Raw genomic sequence first — 25,931 nt, forward strand, 5'->3', positions numbered from 1 at the left:
ATCAGCTGGAAATCCTGAGCAGCAACTGGGAGCCCATGCTCACGCTTCTATGCATGATTACCTTTCCTCCGTCCTCCTTGTTCTAAGATAACTGATGGTCAAGAGGGTTGTCACCAGGGCTGGGCAGTAACAGGATACAGCTGAGGCCAGTCAGTACCAGGGAGATGCAACTGAGTATCAGGTTGACTGATGAGCATTTTGGAGGATACATTATTGGGGGGCAACAGAGAGGTCTAGAGATGGGGACTCACAAAAGGGTGCTGACAGTCCTTGCAGAAGGACTCAGAAATTCAAAGAGTGGAGTTAAGGAGGGAAGAACCAGAATAGAAGGGATCAGTGTTCATTCATCAGAGATGAATGGCTCAGGAGGAATTTTGCTGAGGGCCGTCCTTGTCACCTGGGTACCTTTTAGATTACCTACACAGGAGGCGGCCACTACTTGAGGCTGTCACTCAGCTGCCAATCATCTGGTTGACTGATGGGATGGAACTCTGAGAGTCTCACTATTGCACAGGAGCATGTGAGAAGATCCTGCACCTTAAGTCGTTGCCCGCAGCTGAGAGTGGAGCAGCTCTGGATGCACTACTGCATTTAAACCCAAGTGGGACCGACAACATGGCCACTCGTCACAGGGCACTCCTCAGTGGTTTCCTCATGTGCCCCGTGATGCATTGCCTTGACCTCCTTTATCAAATCTGTCTTCTCCATATGCCTAGTGTCTCTGGCCAGAATAGAACTGGCCACTGGGTGACCCATATGTGAGTCATAGAGATCCAGGGACCTGTCATCATGTCTTTTGTTTCATCTATCCTTTTTATAAATTCAAAGTGGGTTAAATCTTACTAAAGTTCAGAAAAATTAAGTAACTTGGAATCAAAGTTCACACAGCTCATAAGAGGCAAAACTAGCTGTAGTCCCCAATAACCACTTTCCCCACCTTCATCCATCAATAACAGAACTCCAATTTTATCCAGAGCTTGAAGGCATCAGCTAAATTCTACATTTCCCAGCCTCCTTGTGTAAACACGAGTTAGATCATGTCTGCTGAAAACAATCCAATAGCCTCCCGTGTCACTTGGGGTAAAACCAAAATCCTTACAGGCCTTCAAGGCCCTGCACATGTGGCCCCAATAGTCCCCTCTGTGACCTCAGCTCCTGTCGTCTCTATGCTAGCTTTGCTCCAACGACACTGGCCTCTGGTCTTTGTGGCTCCCTGTCTTACCTCTTTCAGGACTTAGCTCAATTTCTCCTTCAGTGACACTCTTTGAGCAGCTACTTAAAATTGCAATACTCCTCTCCCCAATGCCCCCAACACCCTCCTCTGCTATATTTCTCTCCACTGCAGTTAATACTCTCTCATCGACTCTATATTGACCTTATTTTTTTCTGTCTTCCTCCACTAGAATATAGATTTCAGAAGGGCAGCTGTTCAGTTTTGTTCACGGCCATATTCCAGTGTCTGTCACATGGTGGGCACTTAACAAATATCTTCAGTGGATTATTGTGGAACTTTTAAAAAGACTGTTTAAGGGAAGTTGACTCAGCTGAGGGAAATGCTTATTGGCCTTTCCTTCCTTGCATCTTTCCTCCTTCTCTCAGTCTGGAACTCAGACATGATGGCTGGAACCTCAGTTGCCATCTTGGATCGGAGATAACGTTGAAATGGGATCCATGGACTAGCATGGTAGAGTAGGGAGACAAAAGCAGCCAAGGTGGAGCTCCCTCATCAATCCTGGGCGCTGTCCTCCAGATTTCTTTTATAGGAAGTCTGATAAATGTCTACCTTGTTCAGGCAACTGTGTTTTTGGGTAACTGCTGCACCAGCATTGGACCCTAGCTGGGAATGACTGGCCCAGAACTTTACAGATGTCAGAATGTCCTTTCTTTCCTTATTTGTGTGGCAAAATCCTACACTTTTAATGCCACCTTCTCTCTGGCAGAATTCTGTTTTTCTTTCCCTGGTTATAACATGTATCACGCTATTTTGGTAACTTGGGTAAGGGTATTTCTTTCCAGTAGGTTCTGAACTCCTGGAGGAGAAGGTTCATCACCTGATCTTCTCATAACCCTGGCAACTAGCACAGAACTTGGCACCAAGGCTAGCCCTATTTGGCACATAATAGAGGCTTAATAAATGGCTGCTGAATTGTTTGGCTGAATACTTTGAGGCTTGGAAAATCAACAACCACATCAACGATTCCAACTACAGACTCTATTCTATATTTACTCACACGTAAGAGAAAGATGAGCTCATCATCCCAAGCATTACCACATTAATAATAATGACATGGATAATGACAGTGATGATAGCCCCTTACATAGGAATATCACTTCATAATTTTCAAGGCACTTTCCAAGCCGTTATCTCATTTGTGTCTCACAATACCCTCTGCAGAAGGCAGGGCCGGTTATGCTCATGTTCAGTTTATAGATGAGGAATATGGTGATCAGAGAGGCCAAATGAGTCTTCCAAGCCTTTCAGCTATTTAGAGGTAGAATTAAGACCAAAATCAGGTCTTTAGTCAGCCAAACCAAAGCTCAGCTGTGAATGATAACACTAAATGACTAAAACATCATGGTGATTATAATAAATAAAACCCAAGCCCTTCAAAATGGGAAAATGAGAAGAGCCAGCTTCTCTCTGGTCCTAATAGATGAGGCTTACTTCCAAACCTTATAACTGCAAAAATCTGAATATAACCCAAACATTCAACCAGTAAGGAACTGGTTACAAAGGGTGGATTAGGGCCATCTACTGAAACACTAGCAGCCTTTTAAAAGAATAGCACTATTCTTTGAATACTGATATGGGAAGGAGTCCAAGATCTATTCTTGGGCTCACATACAAAAAAATCAGATTACAGATGAGTACATATGGTGCAATCTCATTCATATAGAACAGGGATCAGCAAACTACAGCCCACAGGTCGGTGGCTGCCTGGTTTTGTAAATAAAGTTTTACTGGAACACAGCCATTTGTTTACATATTGTCTGTGGCTGCCTTTAGCATTACGAAGCAGAGCTGAGCAGTGGCAACAGAGACCATCTGGAGTAAAAATACTTACTCTCTGGCCCTTTCCAGAAAAAGTTTGCCAACTCCTGATACAGACTTTACATTACTTTATATTTATAGAAAGTATCCGAAATGAGATACCAAGCTGTTAATAATGGTATTGCACGGGATGATGGTATTTGGGGGCATGCTAAGTCTTTAAGAGTATATCTTATATGCTTATATATTGTTTGAATTTTTCCAACAAACATGCATTCCTTTAAAAGGAGGCAGAATATAAGATAGTTCTAATTTGCATTTAAGAAGAATGACCCATAACAGCAGCAGGTGGTGGGAATAGGGGTGGTAGCAGGTGTGGCCGTAGCTTCCAGGCCCACAGTGTTACTTCCAAGGGCTTGAAAGAGAAAATACATGCTTTTTAGGACCTTCCATTAAAAATCGATTCACTTTGGTCTTTCCTGTGTTCTTTCAGATTCTCTAACACACACTTCAAACTCTTCCCTCTGAAACGCCCCTGGCCCCCACTCTGGCACAGAGGGCTTCTACTTAACCTTTAGGGCTCTGTCTAAATGGATCCTGCTCAGAGAGGCCTTCACAGCAACCCTTCTGATTTGTTTCTCAGAGGAGCCTGTTGTTTTCTTTCCTAACTTCTTATGCTTCTTACTTCTTGCTGTTTCCCTCACTCACCTGTAAGTTACATTAGGGTAGGGATGATGATTACTTTGCTCCCTGCTGTATTCTCAACACCCAGCAGAGGGCATGGCATGAAGTAGGAGTCATCAAGCATTTGTTGAATGAATGAATATGTCTTGCATGTGCGTGGATGTTTCAGCACATTCCTGCCTAGGAAAAGGCTGCCACACATGCTGGTATATGAGAATAAAGGTCCTTCCACCCCACTGGTTCTGTTGATATCCGTGGCCTGGAGAAAGACATAAACCTCCCTGTGACTCCATTTTGGTAACTGTATCCAAAACACAGGATCCCTGCTGTTCTTTGTTTCCTTTTAGCAAAGGGTAAAGCCACCCAGGAGGATGAATTCAGAATAGAAGTGCCTCTGATCAATGGTCTAATAGAAATCCACAGATGACATGACTGCATTCAGAATCATCTCCTAGAAAGTCTGCCCAGAGATGACTAAGACACTACAGTCACCCTTCAGAAGCAACTGAACAGAGACATCTAAAAACCCACCCCTCTTTGCCTTAGAACCAGGTGGGCTTCCAACATCTCATCTACAGAAGGGTCCGTCGGTCTAGTTGTCACGAGGATGTGAACTCCATGGAGGCAGAGACTTTGTTTGGTTTTCTGGTCTGTTCTCAGCCCCTGTAAGAAGGTCTGGCATATGGTAGCTGCTCAATTCGTATTTACCGAATGAATAAATAAATAAAAATGCCTGACCTGCTCTTGCCCCTTCTGCAAAAGCCTAATCCCATGATGCTGCTCAGTGGACACTTGAATTAAGCCTGTTCCCTCAGATGATCCTTTGGGATCTGAAACTGGAATCTAAACTGGGAAGTGATTCAAAGCCAAGAGTGATCTGGGCACGGTGGCTCACACCCTGTATCACACTTTGGGAGGCCAAGGTGGGTGGATCACTGGAGGTCAGGAGTTCAAAACCAGCTTGGCCAACATGGCGAAACCCCATCTCTACTAAAAATACAAAAACTAGCCGGGTGTGGTGATGCATGCCTGTAATCCCAGCTACTCAGGAGGCTAAGGCAAGCGAATCACTTGAACCTGGGAGGTGGAGGTTGCAGTGAGCTGAGATTGCGCCACTGCACTCCAGCCTGGGTGACAGAGTGACACTCTGTCTCAAAAAAAAAAAAAAAAAAAGGAAAGAAAACAACAACAACAAACAAACAAACAAACAAAAAAAGTCAGGAGTGAGACAGCCACATTTATCCCAGGAGAATGGAAAAGCAAGGAAAATTGATCTGCAGGGAGGGGAGAATGTAGCAAGTGCTCAGAAGGAGGCAGGGAGGAGAGAGAACGATTCTGGAGTGCGGATGATGGTCTCAGTCTGTGCCTCTGCCATCCTGATTCCAGTCCTTTGGGAGTTTATGCTTTCTGCCCTTGGGCTCTTGTATTCTAAAAGTATTTTGCTTTTTTGTGTCAGAGTTATTGTTATCTGTATTGTTAAAATATAGAAACCTTTTAGCTTAAGTTACTTAGGCTGTTAGTTGTTTTCTCATAATCATGTCTCCTTTTTGTGTCAGATTGTTTTGAGTGGGTTTCTGTTTCTTGTGTTTTTATAATAAGTTACCCCTTTGTTTGCTTAAGTTGCTCTGAGTGGTTTTTTGATATTTCCTAAGATTCTACCAAACTGTTTCTGCTTCTCACTTGGGAAGCTGTGTGTGGAGAAAGGCTCCTGGTCTCTCTGCCTTGGGTCAGGGGAAGGGTTAATCTCAGAGAGTAATTTCCCCTGTGCTGAGCCCAACTGAGTCCAGCAACATCTCTCTATGTGGGGCGCTCGTAGGCCCCTTTCACCTCCCTAAGCAAGACCCCTGAAGCCACAGCTCCCAGGATACCCAGACTCTCAGTTTTAGCAGAGCCCTGGATCTCTCTAAAAGACATGGACACAGATGCTTCCTGGATGCAGAGGCCAATTCTGCTTTTCCTGAGGACCCAGCCCTGCCTCCCTGTGGAGGTCCTCAGTGGGCTGCCTCTCCATCTATGGTTCTCTCCAGACTTACAGGGTGTGGAATGTCTAAATTCTTTGCTATGGGCTGGCAAAGCATATGGGACACATACGTCTATCACAAATATTCATGTTATAAATATCCCACACTTATTACATGTGCAAAACATTATGCTCACACTTTACATCTTCAGTAAACAGAAAAGAACATGTACCGTGTTCCCCTGGGTTAGCCCCATTCTCCCTTCCAAACAAAGGCACAACAAATGCAATACCAGTGACGTAGGAAAAAGGAGGTGGGATGAAAGTGGGTGGATCAAAGTACATATCAAATACTTATTGGCACTGGGCACTCTGCTTGATGCTGTGCCTATGTGCTAATCCTCACAACAACTCCTTCGTTTAGTGTCACTGTCCCTTTTTCATGGATGAGGAAGCAATGCTCAGAGGAGTTAGGCAACTTGTTTCAGGGCATACAGTTATGAAGTGATGGAGCCTACCCTATAAAGAAAGATAGTGTACATGGGAAAATATCCTCAAAGCCATGGGACCTGATAGCAAAGTAGACCCATTCCAGGAATCCAGGGATCCTGGCATAGGCAGAAGCAGACCAGAGGGTAAGGTAGGGGTCCCTAGGTTCCACCAAATGGGCTACTAGACCAGAGGCCCAGGGAGATAGTAGAGGGTGACTAATATTAGGAGGTGTGTAGTCTGGGAATGAAGGAAGGAAGGAAGGAAGGAAGGAAGGAAGGAAGGAAGGAAGGAACAAATGAAATAATGAAGGATGCTTGAGGCTTCCAACAGGCACCCCCTACCCCTCAAACACACATAGTTATCTTTATCTTGGTACTTGCACTACAGATCCTAATAGGGTGATGGGGGATACGTCTGTAGGATGTGCCTCTCTTCTCCCCTCTCTCCAGTAATTGGCTGCTTGGCTGGCTCCGATGGCAGCTGGGGAGGTCTTATTCCCCGGGTTATGGTTTAGACCTAAAGACCCCTCTAGATACCCACCTTGGGTCAACAGGCAAAAGTGGAAAGAACTTCACTGGGAAAGAGGTTTTGAAAGTATGGCTCTCGGACCATGAATTTCCTTGGAGAAGACCTGGGGGAGAGATGGCCACAGGCAGGTAGGCATGAACAAGGTGACTGGAGAGGAAGCTCAGGGGGTTTCTACCCAATAGCTTACTGTATCCAGGGAAGCTGAAATGAAATCATCTTATAAAAAATGAGGCTGACGGGGTGACATTTGGGGTGAATTTTGGAATCTCTGCCAAGAAGAACTCAGTTGGGTCAAGTCGGAGGCAGCTCTGGTGGTTGCTAAGGCTTGGCTGGGGGAAAGGACATCACTCGTAGTGACTCTAAGTATCACGTTTGTGCAGCTTTGTCTGGGTGTCCTCAGCTGTGTGGGTGTGGGTTCAACAAAGGGTACAGTTTTGCAAGGTTTATGCACTTGGAGGACTAGCGGGCAGGACAATTGAGGGTACTGATGAGAATATGAAGGAAGAGATGAATAATAAGAAATGGTGATGATATGGCAGTGGGGATGGTGGTGGTGGGAGCAATGGAGGTCCCAGACTGGGTCTAAGTTGTGGCTTCTGTTTGTTAGAATTCCAAAGTGTCTGACTGTGCTGATATCAGTGTGTGGAAGAGGGTTTGGGCCCAGGAGGTTTACCAAATGGCAGGTGCCTGGAGGAAGAAAGGATGGCAGAATATCCATTGCCTAGGCCAGCCCCGTGAGGCAAGAAGACTACAAGTAAAACATTCTCCATTTTGCACACCAGTCTTCTAGAACTGTACCCGACAAACAGGAGATAATCAAGAACTATGAGGAGTCCAATGAGTTGATGGATATAGAGCACTTAGGCTGGTGCTGGCAGTGGGAAAACACTAAGTTTGCCATTGTTCTAATTAGTGTTATGTGTGAGCTCATGTGAGATATTCCCAGGGGTGGCCGGAAATATTTAATTAGGGGACACTTTAAAAGGTATCTGAGGTCTTATGTTATGCAAGTGGGGAACATGAGCCAGAAAATTTTTAATTTTAGCTGGTAATGCGACCCCATTTGTATGCTCAGGCTGATGAGGCCTGGGTGAACCCGGGTTATAGTAACAATAACAAAATCTATCATTCCCAGAGCATCTGTAGAGTGTTTAGTACATATGGAGCATTATACACACACACACACACACACACACACACACACACACACACACACACACATATATAAAATATGCATGTATAAAATATCTTTTAATCTTAACCTCCTGCAACATAATTATTACTAGCAACAATTTGTAGATGATGTTCCAAGAGATAATACTTGTCAAGCTCACAAATCAAGCAAGGAAGGGAGCTGGGATTTAGATAATGGGATTTGGGATAATTAGGGAAGACTAAAAGGTCAAAAAGAGATAATAGCGTAGAAGACAGTGGAGTGCTCGAGAGCCTGGAACTCCTCTTACTACTACTAATGATACTTGAACATTACAGAATGCATGATATGTGCCAGGCACTGTACCAAGGACTTTCATGTGTGGACTCACTGATCTTTACATTTCTATGAAGCAGGAATTTTCCTACCATCGTTTTATAAAGGAAGAAATGGAGGCTTCAAGAGGTTCAATGCTTTATCCAAGGTCACGCAAATGTTAAGTCATAAACATGAACTTTCAATCCAATTAATTTGACAGTCAATGCTCTTAACTGGGCAGGGACAGCCTGTTTTTGTAAGTGAATTTTTCTTCAAATGCAGCCACGCCCATTTCTTTCTGTTTTGTCTGTGGCTGCTTTAGCACTACAGTAGTAGGGCTGAGTAGTTGTGATAGGTAAACCTACAATATTTACTATTTTTAGGGGAAAAATTGTTGACTCTTGCTCTCTACCACAACACTACTGAACTTGCCTTAATTAGCACAGCTGGAAGGATGAGCAAATGTGATCAGGAGGTATCAGAAAGTGACCAGTCTATGACGAGGTGTCAGAGTGTGGCCAAGGAGTGTCCTTGGGACAGAGGTCTAAGCACCATGACCCTAGGATTAGATGGGCTGTCCATAGGGATGTTGAAGTTACCCAGGATGGTGAGAAGCTCTGAGTGGAGAGGAAGATTGTGCCTCATATCAGAATCCTCTTTAGTGAAGTGGAGTGAAGGAAGATACCAGCTGATAGCTATGAGGTTGAAATAGAGTTAGGAATGACCCTCATAGAAAAAGAGAAGAGGACTAGTGGTTGGAAATAGATGAGGTGCAAAAAGAATGCTGGTTCCCTTTTTTCCCACCCCTGGAGAATATAGGGGTGAAAGACTAAGCCCAGATGGGGGCCGCAGGAAAGGCAGGTTTCTGCAGGCGGCAGCAGTGCTAGGGTTGGTGTGGGCTTGCTGTGGTCCAGCCCAGGGCTCTCCTCACTACGCTACACTACTTGCCCTCTGCCTTGTTAGCTGGACCTGTCCTCAGTACTCTCTGGCACCAGGGCCCTTACCTGTATAGTCAATGACGAAGCCAGCATTGCTCACAGATGCATCGCTGCGGAAGGCGAGGAAGAGGCTGTTGCTGCTGCTTTCAATGCGGCCTGGGAGCTGGGAGCCATAGAAGCTTCCTATGAGAGGGCTGAGAGAGTCCCGTCCGTCGTAGATATGGAGGAAGTCATAGCCAGGCTCCAGGTTAAAGCTGGGGAACAAAAACATCCCACCCCCACCCCACTAAGGTCAAATAAAGGCTTTTGCCGGGGTCTTAGGCTCAACCAAAGCATAGGGCCTCCCAGGGAGCAAGCCCACCATCCCACTGGTACCCAACCCCTGAAGACTGGCTGGTGGGAAGGGAGAAGATGAGGCCCTGATGACCTCAGTCAGGTGAGAAGATGGAAGAGGCAGGCTCAGGGGCAGAGGAGTCAGATTCCAGTCAGTGTCTAAAAATCTGGAGCTGAAAACCTAACGTCCTCCTTATACAGAAGGGAAAATGAGTTGCCAACTCTGGACACCAAGCTGTCAACCAAAGTAGGTCCAAAACCCAACTCTCTTACCTGACACTAATGTCCTTATACTGTGCTCTTCTGAACCTCATTTTCTAAGAGAGAATGAGCCAACTATGGTGCCATTCTCAGGGAGGAAGGGACCTGTTACCATGAAGGACCCTAGCTTTGTGCCTTCATCCCAAGCCAGTGCTCCAGCTCTCCTCAGGGTCTGCTATTGCCCCACGCCTAGCACCCACAAATGTCCTAACCCTTAGCTATTCTGACCCTGGTATGAGAGAAAAATCCATTTTAAAAACTTAGTTGAGCAAATTGAATATTAGAGTTCATGAATGTAATTTATCCCACTGGAATGGCTCGAGTGAAAATGATGGAAAATGCATATTACGAAAAAATTATGCATGGAGTTCAAAAGTTTTTTGCACCAAAATAAACTCACACTAACTTGTTATAACATGTCTGCACAGGATCTAATGTGAGGCATTAAGAAGGACAAGATATCAGCTTGAAAAAAGCCTCTATCAGAGCAACATGAATTCTGCTAAAATTGAAGCAAGGAAAAACATTAAATTTATGGTGAAGCTTGGGTAGAAGAATGGTGACATCACTGATGCTTTACAAAAAGTTTATGGGGACAATGACCCAAAGAAATCAGCAGTTTACAAATGGATAACTTGTTTCACGAAGGGAGGGGATGATAATGAAGATGAAGCCTGCCAAGGCGGACCTCCACATCAGTTGGAGAGGAAAAAAATTAATCTTGTTTGTGTCCTAATTGAATAGGACCAATGATTAATAGCACTAACGAAAGCCAACACCATAGACATCTCGACTGGTTCAGATTACACAATTTTGACTAAAAAATTAAGGTTGATCAAACTTTCTACTTGATGGGTGTCAAAACCATTGTGCCTAGATCAGCTGCAGACAAAAGCAGGGCTTTTGGCCGGGCATGGTGGCTCATGCCTGTAATCCCAGCACTTTGGGAGGCTGAGGTGGGCGGATCACAAGGTCCGGAGATCGAGACCATCCTGACTAACACGGTGAAACCCCGTCTCTACTAAAAATACAAAAAATTAGCCAGGCGTGGTGGTGGGCACCTGTAGTCCCAACTACTCAGGAAGCTGAGGCAGGAGAATGGCATGAACCCGGGAGGTGGAGTTTGCAGTCAGCAGAGATTGTGCCACTGTACTCCAGTCTGGGTGACAGAGCGAGACTCTGTCTCAAAAAAAAAAAAAAAAAAGCAGAGCTTTCAGTGGAAATTTAAAAAATGTGGGATCAAGATCCTGAAACATTTCTCCCAAGAACAGGAGATGGAACATGGATTTACCAGTACAATCCGGAAGACAAAGCACAATCAAAGCAATGGCTACCAGGGAATGGAAGTGTACAGTCAAAGCAAAAGTGGAGCAAAGGTCAAGGTAATGGGTTTTTTTCTTTTTTATGGATGCTCCAGACATTTTGTGGTTGATTTTCTGAAGGGCCAAAGAATGATAACATCTGCTTCTTAGGAGTTTGTTTTGAGAAAGTTAGCTAAAGCTTTAGCAGTAAAGTGCCTGGAAAGCTTCGAGAGAGACTCCTTCTGCCCGACAACAATGCTCCTGATCATTTCTCTCATCCAACAAGGGTAATTTTTCAAGAGTTTCAATGGGAAATCATTAGGCATCCACTTTACAGTCCTGATTTGGCTCCTTCTTATTGCTTTTTGTTTTCTAATCTTAAAAAAATCTTTAAAGAGCACCCATTTTTTCTTCCGTTAATAAAGTAAAAAAGACTACATTGACATGGTTAAATTACCAGGACCCTCTGTTCTTTAGGGATGGACAAAATGACTGGAATAGTTGGTTACAAAAGTGTCTTGAACTTGATGGAGTTTATGTTGAGTAATAAAGTTTATATTTTTTATTTTCATCTTAAATTCAATTTTTCCACAAACTTTTTGAAGTCCCCCCTGTATGCCTGTGCTCTGGTGCAGCAATTCCACTCTTAAGTATATATCTAACAAAGGCAATTGATACCAATCAAGTGTGCAAAGATGAAAACAATAGAAAAGTAAATGAGCTTGCAGAGAATAGATTTCAGATGCAAATTTGCTCCTGCCCAGCCATGGTCTGGGATACTCAGATACAGCAAGTCCTCAGCATTGTCCACAGGCTCTCAGAAACCATGACTTTAAGTGAAATGACATATAACAAAACCAATTGTTTATTTCTCATCAACATACAGGCTGGGCACAGTGGCTCATGTCTGTAATCTCAGCACTTTGGGAGGCCAAGGTGGGCAGGTCACTTGAGGCCAGGAGTTTGAGACCAGCCTGGCCAAAATGGCGAAACCCTGTCTCTACTAAAAATACAAAAATTAGCTGGGTGTGGTGGCATGCACCTGTAATCCCAGCTACTCGGGAGGCTGAGGCATGAGAATTGCTTAAACTCAGGAAGGAAGGGTTGCAGTGAGCCAAGATTGTGCCACTGTACTCCAGCCTGGGTGACAGAATGAAACTTTGTCTCAGAAACAAAACAAAACAAAAACAATATAATGAAATGACATTGAAGGAAACATTTGAAGACCTGCTATACTTTGTTTTACTTAAAGTCAACAGTTTCCAAGAACCTGTTGATGATACTGAGGACTTACTGTACTCTATTTGAGATTGAGAGTAAAATGACTGTTCTACCTTTTGGCTAAGATATATAGCAGGGGGAGGAGGTCATACATCTCTAGGACAAAGGAGATAAGGCTGGCTAAGAGACAGGATGGGGGACTGGGAGGCACGGGGCACAGAGCCAGATGCGCACTGGCCTCCTTCCCACCTGGCACCTTGTCACACTGGTGTCAGTTGCGGGGTCAACACACCATGGCTGGGTGACACGGTCTTCTTGCCCCTGTAATTCAGCTTCTTGACATCTGCTCTTTTGAAAGTCACCGGCGAAGGGTTTCGGAGGGAGTGAGTCTTGGTCACAAATGATGGCATCACCACTTCCTAACTAACTGCCTTCTTTCTGTCTCTCCCTTCCATCATCAAATTTTGAGCACCCTCGATATTCCAGGCACTGTGCAAGGTGCCAAGGACATGGGGACATGTAAGACACCACTTCTGCCTTCAAAAATTGATGGTGCTGTAGGAAGTGACAGATATATCAACAACAAAATAATGTATGAAGTCAGCCCGAGGCAGAGCAGAAACACAAAGCAAGGTTCCTTGGGGAGGATGAAAAATCAAACATTTATGGAGGAAATCAAGCCTGAACTGAGTCTTGGGAGATGAGAAGACCCTTACAGATAGGACAAGGAGGGAACAGGAAGTTGCTGTGAAGGCAGAAACAGAGGCAAAGTCATAAGGGCATGAAAGAATCCGTGAGGCCCTGAAACTGCAAGGAGTTCCATCTGGCTGGAGCTTAGGGCTTAGGATGGGGTGGGCTTAGGATGGGGTGGGGGGCTGACTGGAGAGGTAGGCAAGCACCAGATTGTTTGGAATGAAACTCCAAAGTTTGGGCCTTTATTATAAGCAATAGAGGGCCATGATAGGATTTAAAAATAAAGGATCTATTTGTTTGTTTCTTTGTTTTTGAATTGAGGTATGATTTACACCGTGTGAAATGATCAGCCCTAAGGTGTGCCACTCTATCAGTTTTGACACATGCATATCAAGACCCAGAACTGTCCCACCACCCCAGAGAGTTCCAAATGCCCCTTCCCATTCAACCTTCCCTACCCTCAGATGCCAACACTGATTAGAATTCTTCACCAGGGATTAGTTTTGCTGATCCTACAATTTTATAGGAGTTGAATCATACATTATGTACTTTTTTATGTCTGTCTTCTTTCACTCAGCATAATATTTTTGGGACTCATCCACGTTGTTGCATGTATCAGTAGTTCATTCTTTTTTATTGCTGAGCACTGTCATTAGAGGATGTTAAAATGGAAAGTAGGGTGGTTATTTCAGCATTTTTGAGTGACACGATCACTCTGACAGCTAGCTAAGGGAGAGATCGGCATGGGAGGCAAGATGGGGCAGAGGAACCAGCTAGGAGATGAGGGCAGTAATTTAGATGGGAAATGATAGGACTTAAACCAGGACAGGAGCTAGGAGGATGGAGAAGAGGAAATACATGAGGAGAGTGAAGGCGATAGAGGCTGCATGCCTTGGTTGCTGCTAGTGGAAGAAGCCGTGAGAGCAGGTGTCAATGCCAGCCCCAAGGCTCAGAACAGAGCTCTTCTGGGGGAGAAAAAATATGCTTGATTTTGTACATGCTCATTTGCAGTGTCTGCAGGCCCCAGACAGAGATGCCCAACATCTGGATAGCGATGCTGACGCTCAGAATAAAGCCAGGGTGGGCAGCAGAATGGAGTCTTCCACTTATAAGAGGAGAGTGGAGACAGGAATGACCGAACTTGTCCAGGAAAGGGGTGTAGGGGAAGAAGAGGAGGTTTTGACAAAGCCCGGCAAAAGAAGATGGTTTAACAAGAGGTCCACGTGAAGTCACAGAAGAGCTTGGAGAACTGGGAAGAGTAACTTCACACAAACCAAGGGAAAAAGCAGTCTAAGGATGGAAAGGGTGATCAAGAGGTGGAGTGGATAAAACACAGAAAGGCCCATTTTGTTTGGAACCAGGAGTTCGTGGGTGGCTTTTATCAGAGGAGTTTCCAGTAGAACCATGGAGGCAGAAACCAGGTTCCAGGGGGTTGAGAGTGAACGGGAGGTGAGGAAGTAGAGAAAGGCAGAGGCAGTTCTTTTGAAGAGCTTTTCTGTAGCAGGAATGGAAAAGCAAGTGCAGGAGCTAGATTGGGGGGGGTGCCTGGGACCCAAGCCCGCCTGTTTATACCTCTGGAGTGGGGTGGAAGGGGCCGGGGAAGCAGACTGGGAATGCAGAGGGCAGGGCAAGGGCATCCAACAAAGGCCTCCTTTCCAGGTCCCAGTATCTTCAGAGGTAGAGAGGAAATAATAATTGCTTCCTCACAAATTACTACAAGGATTAGATGTGATGATATGCATGAGACCACTGAGCACAGTGCTTGGCACGTAGATGTTCAATAAATGCTAGTTTCTCTCTCTCTCGGCTTCTTCACCTCCCTGGAGCTGAGAACTCTGCTACAGACCTGTGAATACTCACCTGGAGACCCAGGTCCCAGAGCCCCTAGCCACTCTGAACCCTTCGTCTCCCACCCGGGGGAAAGGTACATACATGTTAAATACCAGGGCGATGACGTAGTCTGGTGAGACGGTCACTTTCCAGTCACACTCCTTGCCTGGCGGGTAGGGTTCTGGGTAATTTGGTGAGAGGATGACTCCAGATGGTCCTGTCAGGTCTCCCCCGCAGGGAGCTGAGGAGAGAAGAAGACGAGGGTGAGGCTGCCTCTTCACCCTGGGCTCATTTTCATGGGTGTTGCTAATGCACTATTGAGAGAGGAGAGGCTGAGGCTGACAGGCTGAAGTTGAACCTGGCTTAGGGACTCAGGAGAAGGTGAAATGATGGACTTCTACTTTGGAGGGTGGGAATATTTCAGAGATAGTGGTGGTGGTTGCGCAACATTTCGAAAGTACCAGATGCCACTGAACTGTTCATTGAAAAACAGGTAATTTTATGTTAGGTGCATTTCACCTCAATAAATTATTATTATTATTTTTTGAGACGGAGTCTCGCTCTGTCCCCCAGCCCCAGGCTGGATTGCAGTAGCGCGATCTCGGCTCACTGCAAGCTCCGCCTCCCAGGTTCACACCATTCTCCTGCCTCAGCCTCCCAAGCAGCTGGGACTACAGGCGCCCGCCACCATGCCCACCTAATTTTTTTTTGTATTTTTAGTAGATACAGGGTTTCACTGTATTAGCCAGGATGGTCTTGATCTCCTGACCTTGTGATCCACCCATCTCAGCCTTCCAAAGTCACAGGATTTCAGGCGTGAGCCACCGCGCCCGGCCTAATAAATTATTCTTTAAAAATACCTGACCCTGCTACTTCCTAGCTGTGTGAACTCAGGGAACTCATCTAGCCTCTCTAGCCCTCGATGTCTCTCCCGTATCATAAAAAGAGACAATATCTTCTCTGTGGGGTGGTTGTAAAGATTATTGGAGATGTCTGCTGAAGTATTTGGTAGAGAGTGAATGGTTGATAGACGGAGCCGGCACTGTCTGTACACCTATGAAGTACATGGCCTTCCTTCACTGCCTCACATCGGCTTCCCGGCAAGCTTTGTGGGTACTGACTGTGAGTTCCCGTGCACTCAATGTCAGGAGGAGTGGGAAACAGGCTCACATTCGCCTGCCAAGCGCAGCTGGTCTCCTACGCTGCCAGTGCTCCTGGCATCTGCTCGCGGCTGCAGATACTTTCCAACTTTCCAAAAGGCCTTGTCCAAGAGTATGTGTGTACCTCAGTTGTATGGAGCTATTATTAATCCCCAATCAGTCTACGTGGTCGCCCTCCCCTGAGATGACAGGTCTCTCAAGCAGGTGGGGAGGGAGAAAGTGGCCAGGTGACACAGCAACCTATTTACCTAGGGACCTTCTGGGGCAGCTTCCCCAGAGCCTGGATCAGGTCTCTTCCTCCATGGCTGGGGCTGCTGTACCGTGGCATGAGGACTGGATAGAGTAAGAGCTGGGAAGCGTGTGGGGTCGTTAGCAGGATGGCCAAGACTATAGGTATGGTTTGGTCTGGAAACCACAGGGCACCATCAGAGGTTGTCAACACTGAGCCCACAGGAACACAGAGAGCCATTTAAGGGCTGGCTAGAAAATCCAAGATGAGTCTTTGTGGGGGGAGCAAAAGGGTATACCTGACTCCAAAGTTAGGAGCAGCCTTTGGCTTGTCATAGAGCTGAGCACTGGTACTTTAGCTGTGTCATGGAGCCACCTCTGGCTGTGGCTTTTACTCAGGGTGAGGCTTAAAGGGCTGGGTCAATCCCTAACAGGGTCTCAAACAAATGGTAGGTCTTCAGGTCAGGCCATAAGAGCCCTAATGTGGCTGAACATAAAATCCGAGTGGTCATGAGTAGTCTGCTTTTTGTTCCATGGGAAAATATATCCCAAGAACCATCCTGAGTATCAGAAACACTCAAATAGGCATCTATTACGTATTAGACTTAACAAATCACATTTTAGATACACTATCTCATTTATGTCTCATTAACAACTCAATGAGCAATGGATTATTCTTCCTGATTTATAAAGGAGGAAAGTGAGTCTCAGAAAGCCTAAGTAACTTGCCCAGAGTCACTCTGAGACTCAAACTCACATGGGACTGGCTCCAAAGTCTGTTGTTTTCCCCCTTTCTACTTCCATACAGTCGGTAGCAGTAGCCAGAGTAGAGGAGGCGTGCTTCTCCCCGCTGGCCAGCAGGGAGAGCACAGTTGTTGCAGGAGCTTCTGAGCGAGGTGGTGCCTTAAGTTGGGTCTGCTTATGTCTCACTTGTGTCTCCACCACTGAATCCTTCAGGAGCAGAGGGCTAGATAAGTGGGGCCAAGCAGAGGCCAGTACAATCAGTCTAGACCCTTGAGCTTAACAAAGCAAGACTGTAATGTCCAGTCCATGGAGCGTGGCCTTGCCCAGGCCAGCCTAGAAACAGAGTCTGATGTGGCCAGTGAGAGTGGAAAGCCAGTGTCATATCAGAAGTCCCAACTCTGGGGAAATCTTCCCAAGGGGGCACAACGAGGCCTCCATTCTGGTTCCCAGCCTCCACGTCCCTTTGCCAGCTCAGGGGCTTCTTCCCTTAAGTTTGCCACAGATGGGGTGAGTCTCTGTGTTTCTGAAACTGCCCCTGTTACTCTCCCACCAACCCCCAAAGTACTATCAGTGTCTCTGGGTTCTAGGCTGCTGTCTGGGCACAGATCTCTTCTAGATAGTTCCATGGCATCGGGCATGGGCTTCCCTGGCTGCTGCCAGTTGTGCCCCAAGGCCTTGCTTGGATCCCTGGGCTGCCTCGCCAACAGGAAGGCTCCTACTGCTCAGGGTTAGTCGAGGGGTCCTTTTGAGCTTACTAAACCATGGTTGCCCAGATGGGAGTGGGTGCAAGCTGCAGATCCTTCTAGACAGCCAAGAAGTGGGCAGGTTGGACTGAGGGTGAGAGTTGTGGAAAGGGCATTGATTTGGAAGTCATACAATCCTGAGCACAAATTCTGACAATGCCACTCATTGGCTGTGTGAGTTTGGGCCAGCTGTCCACCCCTCTGAGCCTCTATTTCCTCATCTCGAAAGTAAAAGAATAATGATGATAATGGCTTCTAACATACACAGTGCTAACTATGAGCCAGGCACAGTTCTTATTGCTTTATAGTATTTTCTTTTTTAATCCTCAAAACAATGCTAGATGGTAAGTACTACCATTTTCACTATTTTACTGGTGAGGAAATTAAGGCACAGGGAAGTTGGGCAATTTGTCTAAGGCCACACAGCTTGCTGTGGTGAAGGCAGACCTGAGCCAGGGAGTGGAATCCCGAGCTCTAACCTCACCACAGAGTGATTTCAGCTGCAATAATGTAGCTAAAATGTTTAGCCCGGTGCCTATCACGGGGACAGCATCCAATGAGTATTTGTTTTCTTCCTTTGCTTCCTCCCTGTAATGAAGGGTTATCAGGGCCAGCTAGACCCGCTCATGGCAGAACGCCCAGGGAGCTGGAAATCAGAAGCATGTCACTGGGATTTCCAGTTCATTTGAGAGAAGAGGCAAAGGCATTTATTCTGTTGCCTGAGGAACATTTCCCAAAGCCGAGTGTAGAAGAACGGGTGATGAAAACTGAATTAACCTCTCCACCCTACCCACTGCACATTTATTGCTCTCCTCAGCTTAGCACAATCCTCCTTCTCCACTTGGGACAATCTCATCTCAGGACCTGCTTTTCTGTAAAATAAGTCTAAGGAATCACAGCCTTGCAGAAGGCTGAATTTGGAAGGAGCCTCAGAGGTTCCCAGATTCTCTCCTGGGCCTCAACAGAATTCCCTTGAGCAGATGGAATTCTGGCTTAGGGAAGGGGAAGGGAGTCTGAAGACTTGAAAGAAGGAATCGAAGAAGGGAAGGATGAAAAGAAGGAAGGAAGGAAGATAGAAAGGAAGGAAATTAGTATTTCTTGAGATTGGGGTTAGGCGTGTCCTCACCCCACAATGCCATAAGGGAAGTGTATTTACCCTCAGAGATAAGGAAACTCAGGCTCAGAGAGTTGAAGTAATTTCCCAAGGTCACCAAAGTAGTAAATGGCAGAGCTAGAAAGTAAATCTGGATGTGTCTACTTCAGTATCCCATACTGTTCCCTACACAGCAGAATACGTAGTGAAGAACTCAGCTGGATCTGAAACCCAGGTCTCAACCTCCTGCCCCACATACCTATGCGGCTCCTAATTCCCACTGAGGAGCAGGATTTAGTGTGTCAACTTCAGGGCCAGGCCTCAGAGCCATGACTGTCATAGGCCAGTCCTCAGAGGCCTGGGCAGCGTACTGCCTCCCATTAAGCCTGAGTGAGAGAGGTGCAGGCCAGGGCAGACGCTCCTGCAGGAGCTGTCTCAGGAAGCCCCTTACACCCATCTCCAGCAGGGGAGGCAGTGTGGGAGGTAGGAAAATGAGAGGCTTTGCATTCAGACTGGCGTGGGTGTAAATCTTGGCTCTGCCATATCCTAGCTCTGTGATTTGGGACAAGATATCCAAATTTGTCTAAGTTTCAGTTTCAAGTGTAAATGAGGAAATGGTGCTAATTTCAGAGAGCTGTTGGGAAAGTTAAATGAGGTTATCTAAGTAAATGTCCAGTATGGGGCAAGTACACAGTAAGGACTCAGTGACCATGGGTTCTCTTCTCTTCTAACAGCCAGCATTGACAGGGGAGATAAACACTCATTATTTCACCTGAGCAAAATAGACATGTGGAAGTGGGCACCTGGAGGGTTTGTCTCTATCTATTTACCTTTCTTTCCCATCCCAGCCTCCCTTCAAGTTCCCTCCTCCTCTCAGTCTCAAGTAGTTAGAGGCAGGATTTTTCAGGCCCCACCCTTTTTAAGTGATGGGACCTTAGACAAGTCTCAGGTCCTTCATGTCTTCATCTCTCATACAGGAAGGTTTTAAGACTGAGGACAGATCTAAAGAAACAAAACCTGTAATCCCAGCATTTTGGGAGGTTAAGGCAGGAGGATCACTTGAGCCCAGGAGTTCCAGACCAGCCTGAGCAACATAGTGAGACTCCATCTCAACAACAACAACAAAAATACAAAAATTTGCTGGGTGTGGTGGCACAGGCCTGCAAGCCCAGCTACTTGGGAGGCTGAGGTAGGAGTATCACTTGAGCTCAGGAGGTCAAGGCTGCAGTGAGTTGTGATGGTGCCACTGCACTCCAGTCTGGGCGACAGAGTGAGACTCTATCTCTAAAACCTAAAAGAACCAAAACCCAGGTAACCAATAATTTCCTTGAGAACAGCAAAAGCAAGGTTCTTTTCTTTACATTCTGAGGCTGTGGGTGCCCTTCTATTGCTTCAGGTAATAGAAGGGTCATTTCGGAATCTGTTAGCCTTTATTACCCAAGATGACCCACTGTCCTCCTTCTGACCTGTACAGCCTGGGCCAGAGAGAAAGGGACAGACCTGTCTGACTTGGAAATCTCTGGGACAATTTTAGCAAGTGAGGAATTTGTAGTGCTCTGTGTATAGAGTGTGAACGTGAGTGAGTGCGTGTGGGGACACATGCATGCAAAGCAGGGTAAACAATGGGTTTTCTGCAACTTTTGTCTGTTTCAATTCTCTTGGCCCCAGGCCCAAGATGCAGCTGCTGTGCATGGAAGGTTCTGGAGCACACAACTGTGAGCCCCAAGAGCAGAGTGCACCCTGCAGCTGCTTTGTACCGATGCATGTTGGCGGGCTGGGCTGCCAGAAGAACCTGTTCTCGATCTTCACACAGCTGATCTCTGCACTTCCCTGCAGCGCGTAGCCAGGGTCACACTGGAACACTGTGGAGTCGCCGGCTTCCCAACTGTCACCACTCCGACTCCCATTCTGCGGGATCCCAGGGTCATTGCAGGACGTTGCTGTGGACACTGGGGCAAGGAAATAGAAGAGAGGGTAAGGTCGCCTGGGTGTCTGCCACTCAGGAGGCTCCCAGCTCATCACCCTCACTGATTGCCATCATCCGTGCATTGCCACAACCACCAGAACCTCCCCATCATCATCATCAGCTGTAGCCACAGTGCCACTATTCTCACTCCCATTACTATCACTGCCTCCACCACCAATTGTGATCACACTTGTCACTCTCACTGATATCACCACTACCATTCTTCCAGTACCTTCACCATTACTGTCATCTGCCTGTCATGAGATGCTATGAGTTAAGCATGATTATACTGTTATAATTATAGAATTGAATTCAGCTTAAGAATACAAGCATTGTTACATAAACAAAGCATTGCAATTTTGTATAATGTAACTAACATGATCAGAAGGAGGAAGTGACAAGATAATTAAGTCTAAACTCCATGCTGCCAGGTATGGTGGCTCACGCCTATAATTCCAGCACTTTGGGAGGTCAAGGCAGGAAGGTCACTTGAGGTCAGGAGCTCGAGACCAGCCTGAGCAACACAGCAAGACCCTGACCCTACAAAAAAATAAAAAAGATTAGCTGGGTGTGGTGATAGTTGCCTGTTATTCTAGCTACTCTGGAGGCTGAGGTGGGAGGATCCTTTAAGCCCAGGAGGTTAAGGCTGCAGTGAGCCATGATCATGTCACTGCACTCGAGTGTGGGTGACAGAGTAAGAGCTCATCTCTAAAACAAACAAACAAATAAACTCCATGTATTCAATTGGAAGGGTTTGCAAAGGACTTTGCGAGTTGGCCTGCCTAAATGCTAAGCAGTGGTTGTGAGGTTACCGGGAGTTACTGAAGTTAGGTCAAGATCATGCTCTCTCTTGCAATGGCAGACAACCAAGGATCCATTAGACTGAAACCATATTTGAAGAAAAGTCAGATATTTGTAGCAAGTGGGCAGAGAAGAATTCAAAAATAGCTGAGATATATTAAAAATTCAAAATACTCAGGAATTTGCGACGTCTTCGTGTCTATTACCTAACCTAGTTTAACATAGAGCAGGTGTTTTATAAGCGAATACTGAATGAATGCTAGATGGAAGGAATACATAAATAGGAGAATGAGTGGGTGAATAAATGAACAAATGTGGCATGAGAAAACACACCGGAGGAATGGGTGCAAGAGTTAGTCCAGAGAAAGGAATCTCAAGAGCTGGAACAACCCTGGCTGCCTCCACAGCCCAGAGCTGACAGCGGGGCCCGGTCCCAGTCCCCAGCTATGTCATCCCTCATAGCCTGTGCTCAGGGCACTCTAGGGCAAGGAGGTTCTTGAAACCACAGGATAAATAATACTGATTTGATTGGAATATCAGTTTTCTCAACAATTTAAGGAAAAACTACTTTTATACTAAAACAAAAGAATTTATTCTGGATTACAAGGTAAAATTCATATTAGTTTTTAAGCAAAAATGTGAAGCCTTAAAGATATTTTGTGCTTGCTACAGCCACCAGACATCCTGAGGATGCACACCCATTCTCTTCTGCTATCAGGAGGACATCAGCGGAAAAGTTTGAGAAGCGGCAGCCTAGGGCAACTGTATACACTGATGTCACTAATTATAACCTCTGGGATTGTATACGAGTCTTGAGTTACACAATCTGATACCTTCTACTCAATAACACCTAAGGAAGCATACAGCAAACTATGGCCCACGGCCATATCTGGGCCTATGCCTATTTTTGTAAATAAAGTTTTACTGGAACACAGGCACACTCATTTGTTTACATATCAACATTTGACAGCTACTGAACTTATTTGTAAAGTCAAATATGCATCAATCTTTTTCCTTCCCAGTTAAAATCAGACTTAGCTTTCATCTCTAGCTTTATAGGGCACTGTACACATGTAAATGTTCCCCTAGAAGAAAAATAGCTCATTGTTCTGGCCATACTTGGAAGGATTATTTATATGGGAGGCAATAGAGTACAATGATTAGCAGCTTAGGTTTAAGAAACAGACACATGGTTTTTGCTATTAACTAGATGACCTTGTATGAGAAGCCTCGGAGCCCACATCTGCAACATGGAGTAATAATGGTGCCCATACTGTAAGGGTTTTGTGAAAATTGTAAGAGCTGATGTAGTGGAGAGCTTAGTGTGGCAGCCACTCAATAGGAATGGCTGTGATTATGCTTCCCGCTCACCTTTTTTTTTGTTCTCACTTTCTCTCTTTAATGCTCCTGAATTGGAGCTGCTTGGCAAAGCACCCGGGGAAAGGCTGGATCCACGTGGTACAGACAGGATGTTAGATGTTACACAGTCATGTTTACTTAATAAAGCCAAGCCTGCACTAATCGTCCCTGGCATTTCTGTACAATCCCCTGTCAAATACACACTATAAAGTTAACATGGGGTGAGCCGTTCTCTCTTCCCTAGAGTAGTCCTGGTATTTGCTAACTGATGACAGCAACAGGGAAGGTGACCTTTCCCAAACCTTGGTTATGCCCATAACACTGGGCCAGGCTGTCATGACCTTTCTGGAGCCCAGGCTAGGTAGCTTTGACCATGCTACTCTGCCTAAGCAATGCTAAGGGCAGCTTGCCCAAGGAAACCCTTCTGTTAGAGAAAACCATCCATTCATGTGTTCATATCTTCATGTGCCCATTTGCTCACTAAGCTGTGAGTGAGCACCTGCTGCATACATACACTATGAGAGAGTCGGGAGGCATGGCATGACCCTGTCTTCTAAGAGCTTTTAGTGGGATGTCAAGTAGGTGCCCAGCTTCAAGACGAGACAGAATGCCTGGTATTGAATAAATAGAAGTAAAGTGCCAGGGTGCCGTGGGCTATAGCAGTTTTACTCTGAATGGGGAGATTAGGAGGCAGTGGCATCTGAGATGAACCTTGAAGGATGAATAGGACTTCCATGAGCTGGGCAATGCATGAGAAAGCAGCCTGCATACAGCATAGGAGAGCACCCAGGGACTCTGTCCCGCGTGGCTACACTGAGTATGCAGTCGAGGTCAGATAATGCAAATCTGTGGGTGAATTTGTCAGCATAATTATGGGCTTTTTCTTTTCTTTTAAGCCGCACCCATCAGCTTGGGCGCAGTTGGAGAAAATATGTCTGGCTTTAATTATTCATAATACTTCTTTCCCCAGAGAGTGGATCGAGCCGTCTCTTTAGCATTCTACCCTCCTTACTGCTGGGAGATCCTTCCATTGCTTATTCCAGCAACTTCCCAAGTTTGTTCCACGAAATGTTAGTCTCTTGAGATGGCCTTGAAAAAAGTCATCCATGATGGAATATGTTTGGAAATTGTGGCCTACCAGACATCTTTTGAATTTAAGGGCATTAGCATAGCAAACGTTCTCAGAGGCCCCATATTGCAGATCATTTCCTTGGGTCTGCATCAGCCTGAGCACCTCCCCAGCATCACTTGATCATGCAAACTTCTTTTTTCTTGCAATATCAATTAGTATTCCATGGAACTCTTAGGAATAGATGGAAAATGCTAGACTAGAAGCATGCATGAGTGTTAAATGGACAAATTTATAAGTATAAAGCAATGTGATCCTGGAGACTCTCATCTGCTCCCCACGCTGCTAAATGCTTATTTCCACAGAGATGACAGACGTAGCAGAAAAGAGCTAGAAGCAGGATTTGCAACTCTGTAACAATCTCAGTGGTGCCAGGGATATACCCCAACCACCCTTAGCTGATACACCAACTGGGAAAGAGCTCGGGGGCAAAGCCACGGCACAGGTGCCACAAGAAATTGCTCTGGAATCACCATGGAAACTCCCCCCCTCCCTCCCACCACACACACAGTGGAGTAAGGAGATGGTAATGAAGACAGCTGCTGTATAATAAACACGAGCAGAAACCGAAGCAGAGTCACTTGATCAGGGGGAGGAATGATGGAAGAGGCACTTCAGAGGAGATGAGATGATGCATTCCAGGGAGAGGCAGGACCAATCATATAAATTATCTCATACTGGGATTTGGATGTTTGAGCATTGGCCATTTTGGGTAGCTCTTTGTCATGCTCCTCCATAATTGGCTATTGCAGTGCCTAATTAATTAAATTTAGATGACTCATGTTCACTTCCAGTCTTTGCTGAGATCTGCACTCAACTAAGAACCTGAGCGTGCAGCATGTCCCATCAGCTTATTCATAACCATGCCCCAAGCCACCGTCTACTTGTACCTCCCACATCCCTCCTTGCTCCCTGTGCTTCAGCCACATGGGGTAGCCCTCCACTTCCAAAGCCCACATTCCTGCATCTACACTTGTTCATGTGTTCTTTGCACCTAGGATGCCCTTTTCTCTCTTTTCCATCTAATAGGGGTGCACAAGTCCTCCAAAGTCCATTTCAGTGGCACCTTTCCTTGTCATAGATGACTACTTGCTCCTTGAAACACTTTCTTTTCTTGAGTAACTTCTACTTGTCCGTTGGGTCTGAGCTTGGACATCATCTTTTCTGGAACATCTTCCTTGATGCTCCAAGGTGACCATTATGGACCGTATGTCTCCATCCAGATGCTTACCTATTTGTATGTGTCTATTAACCCACCTGTCTTCCCTACCAGAGTGAGCTCAGCACAGACATTTGAACAGGTGCTAACCATGTACCAGGCACATAGCAGATGTTCAATAACTATCTTTACATGGACTGAGGGATGAAGGAAAGTGAGGGCCAGAGGAAGGTGGGTGCCATGTGTCAGGACATGTGGAGTGGGGCTGGCAGAGGGCACGCACAGACCTGAAAATTGAATGGCAAAGCCCTGCTTGCTGGTGAAGAAGTCAGTGCTGAACTGCAGGACGACCGAGTTGAAGGTGCTATGCAGGTCCTTGGGCAGGGCCGGGCCACTCAGCTCCTTCAGCAGAACCCCGCTCTCCACAGGCCCATCCCAGATGCGCAGCACGTCGTGAACCTCCTCTGTGTCAAACACCAGGAAGTGTAGCCTGCACGGAGAGAAGAGGCAGTGGTCATCTGGACTCAGCCCTTCTTTCCAGGGGCTTCTGGTCAGAAGGTCCTAAACCTACGAAGACTGGCCCTAAACCTACAAAGCCCTAAACCTCCGAAGCCCAGCAGGAGGGGAGAGAAGGCAGCGTCTGGCAGCATCCTCATTTCACCAGGCCAGCTCCTCCCACTGGGGCCTCCAGCAATGGGGACAAGGGTGCGAGGTGTAGGTTTTGTGCATCCTTTTCTTATTATGAGCTCCATGTTGCCATTGTCAGACTGCATCCCTCTCCTCAACCTTACATAGCCCGCAGACCTCTCCCTGAGCCCATATTGTTACCATTCTAGGTTGGAAGG

The 25,931-nt window shown here is 46.1% G+C and overlaps 1 protein-coding gene across 12 annotated transcripts in view; it reads right to left on the reverse strand.

The window, feature by feature from the left end:
- The window catches only part of CSMD2 (CUB and Sushi multiple domains 2), a 651,845-nt gene that overhangs the window by 123,519 nt on the left and 502,395 nt on the right, over positions 1-25,931 (reverse strand). For all 12 annotated transcript variants that reach the window (XM_047443685.1, XM_047443656.1, NM_052896.5 and 9 more), the window contains 4 exons: positions 25,374-25,576; positions 20,430-20,621; positions 14,807-14,945; positions 9,132-9,319 (listed from right to left, as the gene is read on the reverse strand). In XM_047443685.1, the coding sequence (XP_047299641.1) occupies positions 9,132-9,319; positions 14,807-14,945; positions 20,430-20,621; positions 25,374-25,576 (722 nt within the window). The remainder of the gene's footprint in view (positions 1-9,131; positions 9,320-14,806; positions 14,946-20,429; positions 20,622-25,373; positions 25,577-25,931) is intronic.

Source organism: Homo sapiens, chromosome 1 (assembly GCF_000001405.40).
Source record: "Homo sapiens chromosome 1, GRCh38.p14 Primary Assembly".
NCBI classification, from domain to species: domain Eukaryota; kingdom Metazoa; phylum Chordata; class Mammalia; order Primates; family Hominidae; genus Homo; species Homo sapiens.